Source organism: Homo sapiens, chromosome 5, assembly GCF_000001405.40.
Source record: "Homo sapiens chromosome 5, GRCh38.p14 Primary Assembly".
Lineage (NCBI taxonomy): Eukaryota > Metazoa > Chordata > Mammalia > Primates > Hominidae > Homo > Homo sapiens.
In genome coordinates this window covers 168096556-168116387 of record NC_000005.10, presented here as the reverse complement: position 1 = coordinate 168116387, position 19832 = coordinate 168096556, and the positions used below count along the sequence as shown (strand labels likewise).

At 43.6% G+C, this 19832-nt stretch overlaps 1 protein-coding gene across 33 annotated transcripts in view, besides 2 other annotated features; it reads right to left on the bottom strand.

Annotated features, from left to right (window-relative positions):
- The window catches only part of TENM2 (teneurin transmembrane protein 2), a 1285129-nt gene that overhangs the window by 147770 nt on the left and 1117527 nt on the right, over nt 1–19832 (bottom strand). For all 33 annotated transcript variants that reach the window (XM_047417418.1, NM_001395460.1, XM_017009661.2 and 30 more), the window contains one exon: nt 18261–18362. In XM_047417418.1, coding sequence (XP_047273374.1) covers nt 18261–18362 — 102 coding nt within the window. The remainder of the gene's footprint in view (nt 1–18260; nt 18363–19832) is intronic.
- Nucleotides 5533–6092: an enhancer, noted in NCBI's record as "NANOG hESC enhancer chr5:167537301-167537860 (GRCh37/hg19 assembly coordinates)". NCBI's record gives its function as "activates a minimal SCP1, AML or CMV promoter by ChIP-STARR-seq in naive H9 embryonic stem cells {active_cell/tissue: H9 hESC(naive)}" and the evidence as "EXISTENCE:reporter gene assay evidence [ECO:0000049][PMID:30033119]".
- Nucleotides 5650–5944: a silencer, noted in NCBI's record as "tiled region #928; HepG2 Repressive non-DNase unmatched - State 23:Low". NCBI's record gives its function as "represses a minimal TATA promoter and a strong SV40 promoter by Sharpr-MPRA in HepG2 cells {active_cell/tissue: HepG2}" and the evidence as "EXISTENCE:reporter gene assay evidence [ECO:0000049][PMID:27701403]".

The following is a 19832-nucleotide window of genomic DNA, read 5'->3' as shown; positions in this document are numbered from 1 at the left end:
GATTGAGGGGTCATTTCCCCTCAAAATGCTTTATAATAGGACAGTTGCCATAACTACTGGGGGCGCTATTTTCAGTAGAATTCTTATGCTTATGAATTTACCAGAGGAGAAGAATGAGTTCAAAAGTGAGAACTTCAAAGCCGCATATTGAATTTAGACGAACTGTCTAAATGTAGGGATCATACTCTCTATCTACAGGATGCTTAAACAGAGGAGTTTGTACAGAGTTGCTACAGAGGCTGATTGTCTAACAGAGGGTAGAAAAAGAGCTTTGAACCCAGGGTGCCCAATTAAGAATTAGGGAACATGCAAATATGAAGTAGCACAAGAAACTCTGAACTTTCTTAAAGTTTTGAGAGGGATTTAAGACAGAGTTAAGTTTGTTCCATGCCAGTTCCTCCTGAGACTCATGCTAAGCTCTAGGTCTGGGATGGCAGGCGTGTGCACATGATCTATAGTACTACCTTCCCACACCTCTACAGACATCACTAATTGATCACGGCATCTTGTTCCCCTGAGCCCAGATAGAGCCTCGAAACCGTCAATGCAGTGTGCAGGCTGAGACCGGCAAGCAGGCAGAGTTGGTATTCCAGAGAAAACCTACTTGTCATTTCTGATCTAGGTAACAGTGAAGGTATTTCCTGGTGGGAAGACTAGAATCAACATCACTTCTCAGCCCCCTTCCAGCCCTGCACTGAAATAAAAAACAGCGAGAAGTATGGTTGCACAACGTGTATTTAAATGAGCTTCCAAGGGCTGTTTCTGACTCTCTGACCTAAGGGTTATAGATTGGATGGGCTGTCACGGATGGCAGAGAAAGTTACATCAAATCACCAACACTGGTCTCCTATTACATCCTCCTTCCTCCCAAAAGGTGGAGGATGGTAGAAAGTAAGGTGCAAAATTTTTGTCTTTTTTAATCAATAAAAAATATAGATAAAATTTTTTTCTTTTTTTTTCTTTCCTTCCTTTCCTTTCCCTTCCTTCCTTCCTTCCTTCCTTCCTTCCTTCCTTCCTTCCTTCCTTCCCTTCCTTCCCTCCTTTCCTTCCTTCCCTTCCTTCCCTTCCTTCCCTTCCTTCCTTCTTTCTTTTTTTGAGACAGAGCCTTGCTCTGTCACTCAGGCTGGAGTGCAGTGGCATGATCTTGGCTCACTGCAACCTCTGCCTCCCGGGTTCAAGCGATTCTCCTGCCTCAGCCTCCTGAGTAGCGGGACTACAGGTGCCTGCTACCATGCCCGGCTAATTTTTGTATTTTTAGTAGAGATGGGATTTCACCATGTTGGCTAGGCTGGTCTCGAACTCCTGACCTCAGGTGATCCACCCGCCTTGGCCTCCCAAAGTGCTGGGATTACAGGTGTGAGCCACCGTGCCTGACCGAATTATTTTCTTTATTCATAGTGACACTGTTCCTCTTCTGCATAAACTTCAAGTAGAAAAAAACAGGATTGTCTAGAAGGTAAGAATGGGTTTTATTTAAAACCAGGTGCTTGGGAAATCAAATTTAAAATTTGACCTACTTAAATTACTCAGTGAAAAATATAAAAAATAGGTCACAGAGTTCTCCACCTTCCAAACGCAGCCTTCCTTCAGGGTTTGCCGCGTGCTCACTGGGAGTGTGGTAAAAAATGCAAAAACACTGTGATGTTCACTGGAAAGCAGGACACTCAATGGGCTTTGCTTATGCCATACAAAGAAGTGGAAGGCGGCTCATCACAGGAGCGAGACTTTATAGTAATCCAGTTGCCATGGGGCAGAGTGCAGAAACACCAGATGAGCTCCCTCCAGTGGTGGCTGGGGTGTCCTGCATTGGAGAGCACCTTCCCTCTGGGGCAACTGATTCATTCTCAGACATAACTCAACCCAGAGCATCCCAGTATCTGAGGTCAGGCTGATGTTTTGTTCAAGAGGCTGGATGTGAAATGGGGAACCTCCTGTATTAATAAGTCTTATATTTTTACTATCATGCAAGCTGCATTATTTTTTATGACAGGTTATAGAAAAATGACACTGACTGCCTACTCTGTGCCAAGAAGTATTACGGAGCAGAAGTGGAAGTAGCAAGGGTTTTGATGCCAGAAAGACCTGGATTCGAAACCAAACCTGTACCTTACCAGCTGTGGATTTTGGCAAGATTACTGCACCTCTCAAAGACCCAATTTCCCCTTCAAAAAATGGCCTTTCAGCATTGATGGAAGGGTTCAGTGAGGTAACATGTATGGCTCACAGGAGTGGCTGACACTTGGTAGGCAAATTAAGAGATGCTCCCTTACAAAATTTCAAACTGAATCTCTAATCTGACTTCAAGGGCTAATAAAATAAAGAAATGCCATAGGTCTCAAACACGCACACACAAACACTAGCAATCACCAGACGTATGTCAAATCATACTAATGGAAAGATTTCATTTTTTCTTCTTCCAGTCTTTTCTGGTGTGGGAGGGAGTTGGTTGTGATTGGTCAGGTATGAAAGTGGAGCGTTTTCTGTCTCCGCATGTCTCTCTTCTTCCTAAGGCTTACGGGAGCAGAACATTGTGCATTCAAGCTTCTATGTAAAATTAATTAAAATGTTTGTACAAATTGACTATTCCTGTTTTACTAAATCTAGTAAATGGAAGCTCTAAGACTCCCACAGAAGAAAAATAAATTACCACAACCACTAATAACTGACAAGTTAACAGGCTGATGACAAAAAAATGACAGAATTTAGATTCACCTAAATGGTATAAAGCTCATTTTAATGATCCAGCTGAAGCTCCCCCGCCCTCCCAGCCCCCACAAAGTTCTCTGTAAGGGATGAGATGAATTATCAGTGTTATTTACTCAGTGGGAAGTAACAGGATAAGCCACCTGTCCACTTGGAGCTTGCAGTAAAGAGAATACGTGGAGAAAAGTTAAGGATATTGGAGAGGCTCAGTCATAAAAGCAGAGGGAAAATGCCTACATCTGCACAAATAATTTGTGGGCTGGACTAGATGTGTAGAGGGAATTTCAAATAATGTATTTAAAAAATTATTTGAAGTCTGTTTTATACTTATTTCATTTTATTACTATTATTATTATTATTATTTGGAGACATGGTCTTGCTCTGTCACCCAGGCTGGAGTGCAGTGGCAGGATCACCATTCACTGCAGACTCTACCTCCCTGACTCAAGCAATTCTCCTGCCTCAGCCTCCAGAGCATCTGGGACCACAGGTGTGCACCACCATGCCCAGCTAATTTAAAAAAAAAATTCGGTAGAGACGGGGTCTCTTTATGTTGCCCTGTCTGGACTCGAAGTCCTCAACTCAGGTGATCCTCCTGCCTCAGCCTCCCAAAGTGCTGGGATTATAGGCATGAGCCACTACACCCAGCTGAAGTCTGTTTGAAAATTTCTTTGGAAAAGAGAGGTGAAAATACTTGAAGCTAGTACTCCAGGCAAATCGTCAAAATAGCACTAATAGTTGGTTGCCTTATATCCCAGTTAGTCAGCAATAGTGATGAGTAACTCACATGGGTTAGTAGCTTGGTTAGGTGGTAGAGGATAAGTGATGGAGAAAAGAAGATGCATTGATCCTCCTGAAGCAATTGAGGATGTAATATTTAGGTCATGGAGGCCAGGCAAACAAAGCTCGGTGACCCCTCAAACCAAAACTCAAAAGGCAACCCCACTGGCTTTTGAGGTTGTGGACTTAGCTTGGTGCTGAGCAAACCAGTGTCAGAAAGGTGAGTTTCCCTTCTAGCAAGATCCCTGCAATTGGCAATCCATCTGGTAGAAAAGTAATAAAGTTTGACCCCCCCCCCGCCCACTGCACACTGTATTCAAAAATAAATTCCATACTATGCAGCAATAAAAAGGAATGGGATCATGTCCTTTGCAGGGACATGGATGGAGCTGGAGGCCATTATCCTTAGCAAACTAACGAACAGAAAACCAAATATTGTATATTCTCATAAGTAGGAGCTAAATGATGAGAACACATGGACACATACAGGGAAAAAACACATACTGGGACCTTCTGGAGGGTAGAGGGTGGGAGGAGAGAGAGGATCAGGAAAAATAACTAGTGGGCGCTAGGCTTAATACCTGAGTGATGGAATAATCTGTACAACAACCCCCCATGACACAAGTTTACCTATGTAACGAACCCACACTTGCACCCCTGAACTTAAAGTTAAAAAAAATTCCATACAGATTAATGACCTAAACAGAAAAACAAAAACTACCAAAGTATTTGAAAAAATACTGGAGACTAATTTTATTTTCCTGGGAGGGAGATATGTAAGACATAAATTCTAGAAACCATGAAGGAACAGAGGATCAGATTTGATTATAAAGAATTAATATCTTCTCTGTGACAAAGGATACCCTAAGCAAAATTAAGGGACAAGCAACTCTGGGAAGAAATATTTTTTTCTCATGTTTTACAGCATAACGTTTGATATCTGAAATACGCAAAGAACTCTAGCAAATTAATAAACAGATGAATGAAAACCTAGGCAAAGCACATATCAGAAATAATATAAGTTGCCAATAAAGGTAAGACAAGATACTCAGCTTCCTTCAAAATTAAGTAAGTACAGATAAAAATGATAATGAGAAATATTTTTGGCTTATCTGATCGGGGAAAAAAATAAGGCTGCTTACACCCAATGCTGCCATGGCTGAGGGGATGGGCTCTCTCCATCCCAGTGGATGGCAGCAAATCAAATCTAGTTTTCAGGGAGATGATTTGTCACTCTGTGGACAGCTCCCTGGCTCACCGTGCCCAAGCAGGAAGTCTGTTGACCTTGGCATCTCAGTTTTCCTGACCTATTAAATGGGCAGAGCAATAAAGGACTGTGTATGTAGGGAAGGAGAGAGAGAGAGGAAGTTGGAAAGAGAGCTAGGAGTGATTATGAAATACAAATGCAAAGATCACCAGCCATCCTGACTGTGATGCTCATCTCTGACCTGAACAGCCCTCCCCCAACCCCTGCCACCGTCCTGCCCAGAGTACTCAGACGCTTTAGTTGGTTTCAGTGGGGGCAAGAGCCGGCAGGACCCCCGTGAAGAGAGGAAACCAGATGGTGCATTCTGACAGATGGGGTCAGAGTCCCCGGCTCAGAGGGCCAAAGTTCAGCTGCACCAACTTCCTCATTCCCATTCTGTCAAATGGCACATTAATAAGCAAGAAAGTGATTCAGGGAAGAATTTCCAGAAGGACAAAAAACTCATCAGGTGTGTCAAATCTCTGACATTCAGGAGCCATGTGGGGAAAGAAGCACACGCTGACTTAAGCACGAAAGTATGGATGCTTTAATTAATCCGGGGTGAATTTAATTGCTTTAGTTAAGTGGAAATCGGGTTAAAAATGATGCAGAGCATGCTGGGGTGTGTTAAAAACATGACATATGAGTTGGATGAATCGATAAATTAAAAGTGCACAGATGTTTTAATTAAACCCAGGGAAGTTAACGAAGATCGCAAGAGACTTTTAAGCCTATGATTAATTCAATTCATTTAAAATACCTGTAGAGATATGGGGATGCCTCCATTTTGAGAGTTATAAAAGTTCTCAATCGATAAGTACTTAAGCTGTTCTTTAAAAAAGTCTCAGTTTTTGTGTGTGTATGTGTGTGTGAGACTGAACAGCATTAATTACATAATGAATATTTAAATTCTTCGGAGTACACAGTAAGCTTTTCTGCAGCTCAAGTCCAGACTGAAGGAGGTTTACGCTTTTGTTGTAATTGGAGCATCAAGATGAATTTGCAAGTTGTTGGTGTCCTATTACCCGCAAGCATGGAAGCTTCTTGAAGGCATGGGGGGTCTGTTTCATCCAATGCTGTCTCTCAGCAGGCAGAATGGTTCTGGGCATGGTGTAGGCTTACGGGAGTTAGACAGCCTGAATTTCCTTTCTTCCTTCCCTTGTTTTTGCCAGCTGTGTGACTATGGACACTTTGCTTTCAGCCTCGATTGCTTTATCTTTGAAGTGGGATAAGAATTCTGCAGGACTTACCCCATAGTGTTTCCAAAGGGAGGAAATGAGATAATGATGTAAAGTGCTGTGCACAGAGCCTGGCACATAGTCATCACTAGATAGGATTTTATTATCACTGTTTTCACTGGGAGAAAACTATTCCAACTGGTCACTTTGTAGAGAGACAAGACAGGGTAAAGCACCCTTTCCCTGTCCCCCATCCCAGCTGACCTCTTTCTAAAGACTGGTTTATTTCCCAGCACGAAAGTTTTTCCCATAAACCACAGGATTCCCCTAGCTCTGTGTGCATCACATGTACAAGTTTCCCTAGGGTTAGACATTCTGCCTTCCAGGGCTGCTCTGCTACTTATCTAGTAGTTTAAAAAGGAAAAAAAAAAAAAAAAAAAAGAAGGGTTCTTAATCTCAGAAGCAATTTAACTTGGGGGAGGGCTGACGGACTGAAGCCCCGCGAAGTGATTTCTGTTTGGTAACGCAACTGCCATGAGAAACATCAGGAGCTGCCGCGTTTTGGAGCTTGCAGGCATGGACTTGCACGTGGCCACCAAATAATGTGCACTGCAACTTCCAAACTGGGGAGGAAAGGGCTCCTCCATGCCTGCCTGGCAAGCTAGGGGGATGAGAGGTCAAAAGTGATGCGACTGCCTCGATCTCTGTTCTCTTTGGGCAGTCCAAGCAAAGTTCAAGGGCAATTTATCTAGACTCAAACTTGAATGTGCATGGGAGTCATCTGGGGACCCTGTTAGAATGCAGCTTCTGACTCAGAACGTCTGGCGTGAGGCCTGAGCATTTGGATATTTAACAAAATCCTGATGCTAGTACCCCAGACCTACTGAATCAGAAATTCCGGGTGGAGCCCAGCAATCTGTGTGTTAACAGATGATTCCAACAAGGGCTCCAGTGTGGGTATCACTAATCCAGTGGGTAAGAACATAGTTCAAAAACCATACCTGGGCAAGGGTCTTGAATCTCTCTGAGATTCAGTTTCTTTAGCTGTGAAACGGAGACGATCATGACGTATGACACAAGGATGAAATGAGAGGATTCACTTAAAACCCTTTGCACAGTGCCCAGCATGTAGTTGATCTTCAATAGGCGGTGGCGATTCTTCTTACGCTATTTTATCAAAAGTGACTTTGCCAAGGGTGTCTGCTCAGTTGCTGTCTGCAAAGCATATACCAAGTGCACCTGCTTCAAGCTCCTGCTTCTGGGCCTTTGCTGCCAAAGAATCCCTGTATGTTTCTTTAGGTCAGGGGTGGGAGGAAAGAGAGGTGGGATCTGGCCATCCAGCTGCAGTGTGCTGAGGGACGTTCTTTTGGGCAGCAGTCATGGTCCATGGCCTGTCTGCATTAATGAGGATTTCAGGGCAAGATGGGGTGGTAGAAGGAGATGGGTATGAATGATGGAAGGTTTGAAGGAGCTAGGATGCAGCCCTGGCTGTCTCAGGAAGGACAGCTGAGACCCGAGCCTCCTTCATGGAGAGAGAAGGAAGCTCTGAGGGAAGTATTCCTGGTGACGGGGAGGACCAGCTACCCTCAGGGAGGGGACTAAGAGCTTTGTCATTGTTCTCCGCGGTGCAGAGGAAGATGTCTATTAAAGGGAGACAGGAGAGCATATTGTGAGACAGAGCCAGAGGGGGCTCAGAGAGCCCCAGCTGCTGGCAGTACTTATTGTTGGGGACTTCAGGAGTGGTCACACTGCCCTGGATTTGGGGGGTCTTCCTGCCACATCTCTCTTTTGGATGGCTATCAGGGCCACAAGCTTCAGAACCAGGCAGACGTGGCCCTGCTATGTAACCTTGGGGAAGTAGCTTACTTTCTCTAAGTCTTTGTTTCTTTTACTGTAAAATAGGAATAATAACAATGAATGATTGCAAAGGCTTGTTGTGAAGGTGGATACTAGCTAACATTTAATACGTGCCAAGCATGGTTCTACAAAGTTTCCATGTATTTACTTTTTGGACCTCACAGCAATGTAATAGGTAATATGGCTGTTGTCTCCATTTTACAGATGAGAAAACCGAGGCTCAGAGGGGTTAAGTAATTTTCTAAAATGGGTTCAGTTAACTAGAGCAGCAATAATTCAAACCTAGCAAATTCAAACTCTACAGCTTTCCTTCTTAATCACTTGGCTATTATGACATAATGCACGTAAATTGTGGAATAAATGGCATTTCTTTTCTGTAAACTTTTCTTTCATTCTTTTTTCATTCCTCCTTCTTTCCTTCCTTTGCTCATGCCCTCCCTCCATGCCTCAAAGGTGGCTGATTTATTGCTGCATGATTGATCCGACAAATTAGAACCTTGTTCTTTAGCACTTGCTTTGGTTCTTGTGACATTTTCAAGCCATATTTCATCTTTATAAGCCTTGCTTCCTCTATTCAAGTAACCAGACATTTAGCAGGCACATATTTTGTCCTAGGTACCAAACTAAATACAGGGAGGTACAAAGGGGACTGCTGGAAGCTTGTCATCAGCAGGAGAACCACCTGGATAGGAGATGGCCGGCATGTGGCAGGGGCCACTGCTGCGATGTTGCCAAGCCCAGGTGACTGCAGGGTCATATCTGAGGGTGCTTCAGGGAGGTGGTGACCTGTGAGCATGGCTTTCCATGATGAGCAGCAGTTTGATAGGAAAGGCTGGGATTGATGAGAACATTCCAGCTGAAAAATCAGCCTGAGCAAAGAGGAAGAAGCAGGGCCTCACACTTTATGAGGGGTGACTACTGGGAACTTAGAGTGAGTGTTCAGGCCTCAGTGGGAGGTGACAGTGCGAGAGCAGTTTAGATCGTGGATGACCTTGGACATCATTCTAAGAAATGTGATCTTCATTCTCGGAATGTGGCCCCTGACCACCTGCATCAGACCCCCCCCCCAGGAGGCTTGCTAAAAAGGGGTCTTCCTGAGCTGCACACCAGTCCTACAAGTCAGATTGGCTGGCATGGGGGAGAAACCTGGAAATACACATTGGTAACAATCTCTTCAGATCCATGTCTTTAAACCAAAGCTTTTATAACCATTGTGGGAGGTGACTGGGAGCCACTGAAGGTGTTTGAGGACAGTAGTGACATGCCCCTAAGAGCTTTGGGAGAACTCTGGAGAACTCTGGAGGTGGGGAGGAGAAATACCATCATGGAGAGGTTGGTAGCCGAGTGAGCAGGGCAGTGGCTCCCACAACTTAATATTTATATAGAAAAATCCAGCTGTAAGGATAGAGAGGAAAAATGGAGCAGAAATTGTTGGAGGTCATCGGAACAGGAGTTGGCAGGTGGTGGGAAGAGGAAGGTGATGGAACGTGCCTGGCGGCTGGGAAGAGAGAGGGTAACAGCATCAGGCTCTGAGGTCAGAAGATTTCTCTCTCTCTTTCTCTCTCTGTCTCTTTCTCTCACCACTGCACAGGCTGGAGTGCAGTGGCAAAATCTCTGCTCATTGCAACCTCCACCTCCTTGGTTCAAGCAATTCTCCAAACTCACCCACCTCAGTAGCTGGGATTACAGTCTTCACTACCATGCCCAGCTAATTTTCATAGTTTTTGTAAAGATGTGATTGCACCACGTTGCCCAGGCTGGTCATGAACTGCTGGGCTCAAGTGATCTGCCTGTCTTGGCCTCCCAGAGTGCTGGGATTACAGGCGTGAGCCACTGCACCTGGCCAGGGGCTTTTGTTTCAAACTCTGGCTCTCCCACTTTCTACCTGGGAAACTCCTGTTTCCTCTCCTGAAAAGTTTACTTGGGTTCAAACTCAGAATTCTAGTGTGTAACCATCGCACAAGCTGCCTGCAAAGACAAAATTCCTTTATGCCTCACCTCTGAGGTCAGTCTCATGGCTAGTCTAGTGTTGAAAGTCCAGGCCAGACTGCCTGGTTGGAATCCCAACAATTCCACTTACTTGCTCAGTGATTTTGAGCAAGTTACTTAAACTCTGTGTGCCTCATTTTCCACATCTATAAAAGGGGATGATAATCGTCTATAAATGAGGGCTACTGATGATTCAATGACATAATTATGTAGTTGTTCAGCACGGTGGTTGGCGTATATAGTAAGAACTCAATAAATGCCAGCTCTGATGATGATGATGATGATGATGATTTGTTTTTAGTGCTGGCATGTAGCCATGAGGAATTTGGTGGTGGGAACATTTGCCAGTTAACGGGAGAAAAATGGCAAGATTCCTGTTTTTTTCTTTTTTAAAGCTCCACAGAAGCTGGGTAGGAGCTGAAACCAACCCCCAGAGAGAAGACTTTATGTTCCCGTGGTTGTGGCATTTCTGGGCCTCCAGTGACAGCTGTTCAGCAGCAGGAGTTGTCATTTCTAATAGCTATTAAATACGCATTACCTAACAACTACGGCTCTGGTGTGTTTTCTGCTGCAGGTTGAGGCCTCAAGCTCAGCCCAAATAAGCCATCTGAGAAGCCAGTGTCAAAACAGAAAAAAACCCAGACACCTCAGCGCTCTTCTGAAATGCAAGGCTGCTTTACAAACAATCCGAGGAAGCACCTGAAGTTAAAGCCTTCACATAAAAGCAAATACAAGGGAAAGGAATAATAATTAAAAAACCTCTAGCCCACAACAAATAGCATTAAAGTAATGAGAAAACCATGCAAGGGAAATAGTAATAACAAAAAACCGTAGAATAAACAATAACTTGAATAGTAAACACAATTATTGCTGGACAGGAGAGGTGCCTGATGGAAAATGTTACAAATTGCCAGGAAAGAAATGCCATTTTTCCTGAGGCCCTGGATCTGAACAGCTTGCCTATTAAGTTGCTCAATTAATGCAATTCTATACTATTCAGTCTTCTTGGTGGAATTTTCTCCGTATTCCCTGATGCTAATTGGCTATGTTCATTGATTCACAACACTGTGAATTTTTTAAAAACTTTGAAAACTTCAAATGTTCATGATGCCTTACAGGCATCCTCATGACCCGGTCTCTCACGGCCCAGGAGACCAGGTGCACCTGTGTGATAAGGCCGGCCTCTGCCCCAGGTTCCCCTTCCTGCCTTCCCTGACTGTGATCTACTGACATTCAAATGCACCAGTAAAATACCCCCATGCCTTTTGCTCCACCCTGACTCAGCAATAAAGGCACTTGGCCACCAGCTCTCACTTTCTCTCAGCTCCCACCTGCCTGGCTGAACCCAATCCCTTGGAGCTGGTCCTACACAGCCCTCTGCATGTGTGCTGTGGCTCCCTCTCTAGAATCTGTGAGTATAATAAGTCCCTGAATTTCACATGCCTCTCCCAGCGTGAGTTCCACAGTTGGAGTGATCCTTAAAGACACCACCAGGGGAACTTACTCCCCCATTTATAACACGCACATTTTATTGCTTTATAAACTTCCTTATTTTCTCCTTTGGAATGTCTATGGCATTCAAAGTCCGTATCACAGTATTTTGGACTCCCATTTATGTTACCCCCTTGCTTTTAATACAAACTGGTCAGACCAGAAGCTCTCAGAAGGCAGAGCCTGTGGTTCCCTCGCTCCTCCCTCTAGTCTGGCTCTTAGTGCAGTACCTGTCTCACAGTGGGCAGATCACACACATTCACTGAATGTACGAATAAGTTCTGTCCCCTCGACTGACTCAGGACAATGTGTTAGATCCATTCCATGTTATTTCCATGGCAGGTCAGTTTCATTTTGCCATTGGATCCTCTCAGGGCCCCCGAGATTGTGAGGGCTGCGGAATAAACGCTCTTGCAAACGCATGCTGACTGATTCCTCCATTCACTGCAAGGATGTCTTCAGATGCCTGATGCAGACTGGCAGGTTTATAAGAAGACAAGGAGCTGCCATTTGCACTGCACATCTGAGGGCACGGGAGGCGCAGTGTGAGGTCAAGAGAGTAAATCCGCATTTCTGTCACTTGGACACATACCCGGTCGCTTGGATGTGATGGGAGTCTCTCTTGCTAACGTGGCAAATTCTCCCCCTGGCAGGAGGGCCTGAGTCTGCCGGCTGCCTGCAGTCACAGAAACTGGCAGAGCCAGGGAATTCCGGGCACAGCTGTCAGTGAAGGAACAAAGGTGAATGCGAATTTGTGATGAGGGAGGACCTTATGCTTGGGGCCTTTTAAGAGTTTTTATCAAGAAAGAAGGACAGGCCTGGCTTGGTGGCTCACACCTGTAATCCCAGCACTTTGGGAGGCCGAGGCAGGTGGATCACTTGAGATCAGGAGTTTGAGACCAGCCTGGCTGACATGGTGAAACCTCGTCTCTATGAAAAATCCAAAATTAGCTGGGTGTGGTGGTATGCACTGGTAATCCCAGCTACTCTGGAGGCTGAGGCAGTAGAATCGCTTAGAACCTGGGAGAAGGAGGTTGCAGTGAGCTGAGATTGCACCACTGTACTCCAGCCTGGGTGACAGAGCAAATCTCTGTCTCAAAAAACAAACAAACAAACAAACAAACAAACAAACAAACAAACCAGAAAAGAAAGAAGGACACCGATCATGGCCCACAGCCGGGAGATGGGGTGCCCTGTTCTGGGGAGCAGGAGACTCAGGTGCACCTGTCTCGGCACTTGCTAGCCAATTACCTCATTCTGTTGGCTCAGGGTTACTCCCTGCCAACAGTCAGCTGCTTCTTAAGCCCAAAAGTTGTTTGTGAGTGACAACTTGTCATAGCCACTGCTAAATTGTGCAGGACCAATGGGATCGAGGCTTCCCACGTCTCTGCCTTATGTGTGAGGGGGAACAAAGGCACACACACTCACACACACACATACTCACTTATACAACCACATTTTACTTTTTTTCTGATTAAAATCAGAAGTGCATCTCTGATGTAATGCACTGAGGAGGGCATAGCATCTTGCTAAAAATGCATAACGTCAATCCAATCACCGGAAAATATCAGACAGACCCATACCGAGAGACACTCCACAAAATACCTGACTAATGCTCTTCTAAAGGGTCAAGGTCATAAAAGACAAGGAGTAACGAGGAACTGTCACAGACTGGTCAGGTTAAAGGGATGAAGGGGGCGTGACGATTAAATGCAATGTGGGATCCTGGATGAGAAAGAAAGGGCAAAGTTAGGAAAAGTCTGTAAATTAGCTAATGGCTTTGTATGGATGTTAATGTCTTGGTTTTGATCTTTGAGTTACGGAAATTTAAAATGTGGACATAGGGGAAGCTGGGTGCGCTCTGTATGGAAACTCTGTGTTCTATCTGTGCAGCTTGTCTGCAAGTCCCAAATGATTTCAATACAAAATGTTTACAAAATTGTAGTGGGGAGGATTGGTTAAAGCTGGAAACTGTCATTCTCAGCAAACTATCGCAAGGACAAAAAACCAAACACCGCATGTTCTCGCTCATAGGTGGGAATTGAACAATGAGAACACATGGACACAGGAAGGGGAACAGCACACACTGGGGCCTGTTGTGGGGTGGGGGGAGGCGGGGAGGGATAGCATTAGGAGACATACCTAATGTTAAATGATGAGTTAATGGGTGCAGCACACCAACATGGCACATGTATACATATGTAACAAACATGCACGTTGTGCACATGTACCCTAAAACTTGAAGTATAATTAAAAAAAATAGAATTTACCTCATATCATTGATATGAAGACAAATAAGAGTATCTATTAAGTACTTTGCACAATATCTGATGCATATTGAGTACTTAAAAGCTATTGTTATTTAAAAACAACTGGAAGTATAGGCTTAACATTTCAGAAATAAATTCAGTGCTAATCATTGGATTTTTGCACTTGAACCTGGTACAGTTAAACCTGTGTGCTTGTGTTTACTTGTTTCTCATTTCATCCCACAGGTGTGGTCAAGGAATTTTGTTATTTTAGGAGCCAATAGTTATGAGTTGAGGTGTTCAAGGCTTGAGTCTCTCCAGACGCCAGGCTTATGTGTGCTCAAGTCCCCTTTTGGCATTCTTGATGTGAAATAAGTGTGTAAGAAGCTGACTTGGCTTGGATGCTAATCAAAGTGAAAATATTACTCTCTAGATAGGGTTAATGGGGGCGCTAACATTTCCTATAGTTTTTCCTTTTTCAATTTTCTGGTTTTGACATTGTTCTTTTTAAAATAAATTTATCGCTGGGCGAGGTGGCTCACGCCTGTAATCCCAGCACTTTGGGAGGCTGAGGCGGGTGGATCACCTGAGGTCGGGAGTTCAAGACCAGCCTGACCAACATGGAGAAACCCCGTCTTTACTAAACATACAAAATTAGCCATTCATGGTGGCACATGCCTGTAATCCCAGCTACTCAGGAGGCTGAGGCAGGTGAATCACTTGAACCCAGGAGGCGGAGGTTGCGGTGAGCCGAGATTGCACCATTACACTCCAGCCTGGGCAACAAAAGCAAAATTCTATCTCAAAAAAAACAACAACAAAACGCACACACACACACACAAAAACAAAAAAACTATGGAACTATAATGAATTGACTTGAAGAAACATGTTAAGTAATTAATAATACTTCTGTCCCATGAAATTGCCAGAAATAATAAAGGTGGTACATGAAAGATCAAAGACTGGGAAAGAAGGCTTTAGAATGAGGGGAAATTTCACTCTGTTAACAATGAAGTAGCTTAAACTGTGGCCATTTAAAAAAATACTAAGGGAAAAACATCTATAGGGCTAAAAGGTAGAATCCTACTCCTAACACTCTTCAACCAACTTCACCCAGAATAAATGGAGAAATCGGGGAAAAGCAATTTTATTCTTTAAACACTTCAATTTTGTCCACTGTGTGCAACAGCTAAATTAAAGTATACAAGTTCAAAGCCCGATTTCAGGAGCAGCGACTGAGTATGGAGGAATAACTACTCTTAACATCCACTCAATATTTGTTTCACAAGGATCAATTATATACCATGGCTAATGCACACTTGCAGTGTGCGCCCTGCCACACTGCAGGTGGTGAATGCAAAACACACACCGAGAGTCCTTTTAAGCAGCTAAATGGACACCCCATTACAGATCCATAATGTAGAATGGACGTTCATCTGCAAATGGATTTAGAGCAAAGGGTTCTTAAACGGCCGGGGTACTTAGGTTTAAAAGGCCAGTCACTGGATGTGCAGTCGGAGCACACATGGTTTTTAGGATTAATAATACATCGATGTGTGTCAGTGTTAATATACATTTACAGCTCACGGGCCGTGCGGCTGAGGGTTCAGCCCATTTGCAGCCACATATAAAAGGCCGACTCTGTCCTTCTTCTCATTAATGTCTTCACTCCCAGGAAAATTAGATTATGCAAGGAAAGCCATTCAAATGACACTGAGATTTTCCTTCCTTTAAAGCCTCCGCTAGGAAAAGCTGTTCTCTGTTCTCCTTGCTCCATCAGTGACCCTCAGAGCCTGAGGGAGGCGCTAGGAGGAGGTCCAGTCTCCACAGTTCACTTTGCTGATGTGCCCCCTGCCATTGACAGAGTGCACTAAGCCTGGCACAGCCCAGAGAGCTGTCGGGTGGCTTCTGGCCTGACACAGAGCCCTGAGAGCTGTCGGGCAGCATCTTGTCTTTTTTTTTTTTTTTTTAATTATACTTGAAGTTTTGGAATACATGTGCAGAATGTGCAGGTTTGTTACATAGGTATACATATGGTTTGCTGCACCCATCAACCTGTCATCTGGTTTGCTGCACCCATAATAGTTTGCTGCACCCATCAACCCATCATCTACATTAGGTATTTCTTCTAATGCTATCTCTCCCCTAGCCCCCAACCCCCTGACAGGCCTCACTGTGTGATGTTCCCCTCCCTGTGTCCATGTGTTCTCATTGTTCAACTCTCACTTATGAGTGAGAACATGCAGTGTTTGGTTTTCTGTTCCTGTGTTAGTTTGTTGAGAATAATGGTTTCCAGCTTCATCCATGTCCCTGCAAAGGATATGAACTCATCCTTTTTTATGGCTGCATAGTATTTCGTGGTGTATATGTGCCACATTTACTTTATCCAGTCTATTATTGATGGGCATTTGGGTTGGTTCCAAGTCTTTGCTATTGTGAATAGTGCTGCAATAAAACATACGTGTGCATATGTCTTTATAGTAGAATGATTTATAATCCTTTGGGTATATACCCAGTAATGGGATTGCTGGGGCAAATGGTATTTCTGGTTCTAGATCCTTGAGGAATCGCCACACTATCTTCCACAATGGTTGAACTAATTTATACTCCCACCAACAGTGTAAAGGCATTCCTATTTCTCCAGATCCTCTCCAGCATCTGTTGTTTCCTGACTTTTTAATGATCACCATTCTAACTGGCATGAGACGGTATCTCATTGTGGTTTGCAGATGACGTGATTGTATATTTGGAAAACCCCATCGTCTCAGCCCAAAATCTCCTTAACCTGATAAGCAACTTCAGCAAAGTCTCAGGATACAAAATCAATGTGCAAAAATCACAAGCATTCCTATATACCAACAATAGACAAACAGAGAGCCAAATCATGAGTGAACTCCCATTCACAATTGCTACGAAGAGAATAAAATACCTAGGAATCCAACTTACAAGGGATGTGAAGGACCTCTTCAAGGAGAACTACAAACCTTGCCTTCTTTTTAAGTTTATCGAAGCTTTCACCATACTGTGTGACAGAAGAGATGCCTGTAAGCGGTGTCATTTAGGAATTAAGTCTCACGCACGTGCCATCAGACCCAGAACTTTAAGTACAGAAAGCCCCCTTCACTTATCAGCATTCGTAAGCCTGGAACCCTCACATCTTTGAAATATTGAGACTATTTGAAATAGTATTTTTCAGAGCAATTGCGGTGAGGGTGGGAAAGGAGAGGCACTATTTAGTATTTACAGAGCAGCTTTATTAATGATTGTCTTGCAGAAAGTCAAGGCAGGAAGGTCTTTTAATAAAGCACACATGAAAATAACGGGAAGATTAGTTAAACATATAAATAAATAAAATCGTATGCATAATTAAATAAGAAAGTCAAGCCCTTTGAGGCCTTATTGTGCCCTGCTAAGAGCTTTGTGTGTGTTATCTTACACTATCCTCACAATAAACCTAGGAAGTAACTCCCCACTTTTCCAGATGAGGAAACCAAGGTTCAGAAATGTTAAATCAGTCACTTAATGTCAGATACCCAATGGCAGAGCTGGGATTGGAACTCAGGATTGCCTGACTCTGCAGCAAGTGCACTCAACTGCCCCTTCACTATTTTTCAAACTGTGATATGGCCTATTGGTGGGTGGAAAATCAGTGTAATGGGTAATAACTGGTATTAAAAAAAAACGAGGCCGGGCACAGTGGCTCATGCCTGTAATCCTAGCACTTTGGGAGGATAAGGTGGGCGGATGACTTGAGGTCAGGAGTTCGAGACCAGCCTGGCCAACATAGTGAAACCCTGTCTTTACTAAAAATACAAAAATTAGCCGGGTGTGGTGGCACATGCCTGTAATTCCAGCTACTTGGGAGGCTGAGGTAGGATAATTGCTTGAAACCAGGACAGGGAGATTGCAGTGAGCCAAGATCGTGCCGCTGCATTCCAGTTTGGGCGACAGTGAGACTCTATCTCAAAAAAATAAAATAAAATAAAAAATGAAATAGAAAAGAAACATGGAGTAAAATATCATTTTGTGAGTTTTGTTTCAATTTCCTACTTGTATTTAGACATATACCCTTGTGTGTCTATGTGTCTGTGTATCTGTGTCTGTGTCTGTGTGTGTGCCTGTGGGTAAAAGTGTGAGACGCTCTGCTCTTCACTATACCTGCCTCTGATAGAGCCATTTGAAGGTCACACTGAAGGTGTTTTGCAAGCAAGGTGTGCAGCCTCTAAATTCTCTGTTCTTGTGAGAAGCATTTTCTTTCTTATATTACCTTTCCCCCAAGAATCTCAGGGCTCCAGCTATTCTGTGCACAGCAGTGTAGATAAATTAATAATACAATTTAAAACCGATTCCACCAAGATAAATAGCGCTTCCTAGATTAAGAGTGTAGCTGGCCAGAATGAATGAAATTTACTAACCCTGAGATGCTTAATCTTCCATTACATAGAAGTTAATGATTATAAGAAAGGAGTGATGGTAATTCACTTCTGCTTTTACAGGAAATCCGACCATCTCATTTTTAGCACATCTTTCTTCTCAGCACACCTCAGTGCCAAGGATAACTGCCCTGCTCCTATAGGTACGTTGGCCAATGGTCATAAATCAAAGCCTACTCTTTACGAAGGCTTATGCCTTCTGGCATGCATGGGCTTGCAAGATGTCTCGGGGGATTTGATGGGAAGGCTACTTGGATGTCCCTTCTGTTACCCGCTCAGAGAAGCCTAGGGAGGGTCTGTTTTCCAACCATAGCAGGGAAGTGGCGGCACATACCTTTAGCACAGTCTGCTCCTAGAAATCCTGGGAAACAGTGACACACCCCGGACACACATTCACCATTCCCATGGCAGTTACGTGGACAGTCCTGCACTGAATCTGAAAAAGAGATAAATGTAGTGTTTACCTTTTCCTCTGTCTACTGGTGCAGTAATTTAACCGTCAGTAACTTGCCACTTTTAAAGACCAGTGGTAGTAATCTCAGATGCCTGTCATAGGGGATCGGTCAGCAATATGAATGAGTGAAGGAAGAGAATAGGGAGTGGTGGGGACTGGGACAGCTTGAACAGTGCTCTCCAGGTGATGGCCCCAGGCAGGAATGCAGGGCTAGTAGTGCTGTAACTTTCACTTTTTAAGAATAAACTACCAGTCTCATCAATCACAGTGGCTCACAGCTGTAATCTCAGCACTTTGGGAGGCTGAGGCAAGTGGATCACATGAGGTCAGGAGTCTGAGACTAGCCTGGCCAACATGGTAAAAACCCATCACTACTAAAAATACACACACACACACACACACACGCACACACACAATTAGCTGGACGTGGTGATGCATGCCTGTAATCCCAGTTACTTGGGAGGCTGAGGCAGGAAAATAGCTTGAACCCAGGAGGCAGAGGTTGCAGTGAGCTGAGATTGCGCCATTGCACTCCAGCCTGGGTGACAGAGCGAGACTCAATTTCAAAAACAAAACAAACAAACAAAACAAAACAATAGAAAAAATAAACTATCAGTCTGGATTTAAAAACTATGAAAGCTCCCACGTTTAAATGTTGACAAGTTTTTAAACACTGTACCCACAACCACCCCCCAACCTTCATCATCCCACTCAGTTAAGATTTGGTCTGATGTGCAGGGTATCAGTTTTTAGCCTTAGGTATAGAGAGTGATTCTTCAAAATAGGAGTAGTTATTCCTAACCTCAGATTTGTAGAGTAAAAATATTCCTTGCTTTAAGGAATTCTAATAAAAGAAAAACCCAAATGCATAGACTGCTTAAATTAGGCAGGATTTTGGAATTCTTTAAATAGGAGGTTTGCGGTTATACAAATGTCCTTTTATGCTTAGCTTTTAAGGATGTTATTTTTCATGAAAATGAATTAGTTCACATTTGGCTCTAACCTGCATCACCGTCTTATCTTGTGATTTACCTTTCTATGTGTACTCTCAAGTAATACCTTCAAAGGAATGATTTTGGAACTATTTAATGTTGATTTGGGTCTGCACAGAAATAGTCATATTCTTTAAAAATTATTACCATAATCCTAATTTTTGTCTTAAAACAAAATACATTTAGACTTTCAGGTTCCAAATTACTAAGATGAAAAGGAAAGTATAAGCCACTATTCTCAAAATGTGATGTTATATCACCCTTGGAGAGTTGGGGACTTTGACCTGGTGACATGGTATGAAAGGCTGTGAAGTCTAATTGTTCCTAATGGAGGTACCTGAGAGTGATAAAGGATGTGTTGCCTTTAAACCTGATTTCCCATTTACTCCCACTCTGGATTGAAACTTCGAATCACACAGTTTTGTTTTCTTTCTACAGTGTTTCCTTTCTCAGCTCTCAT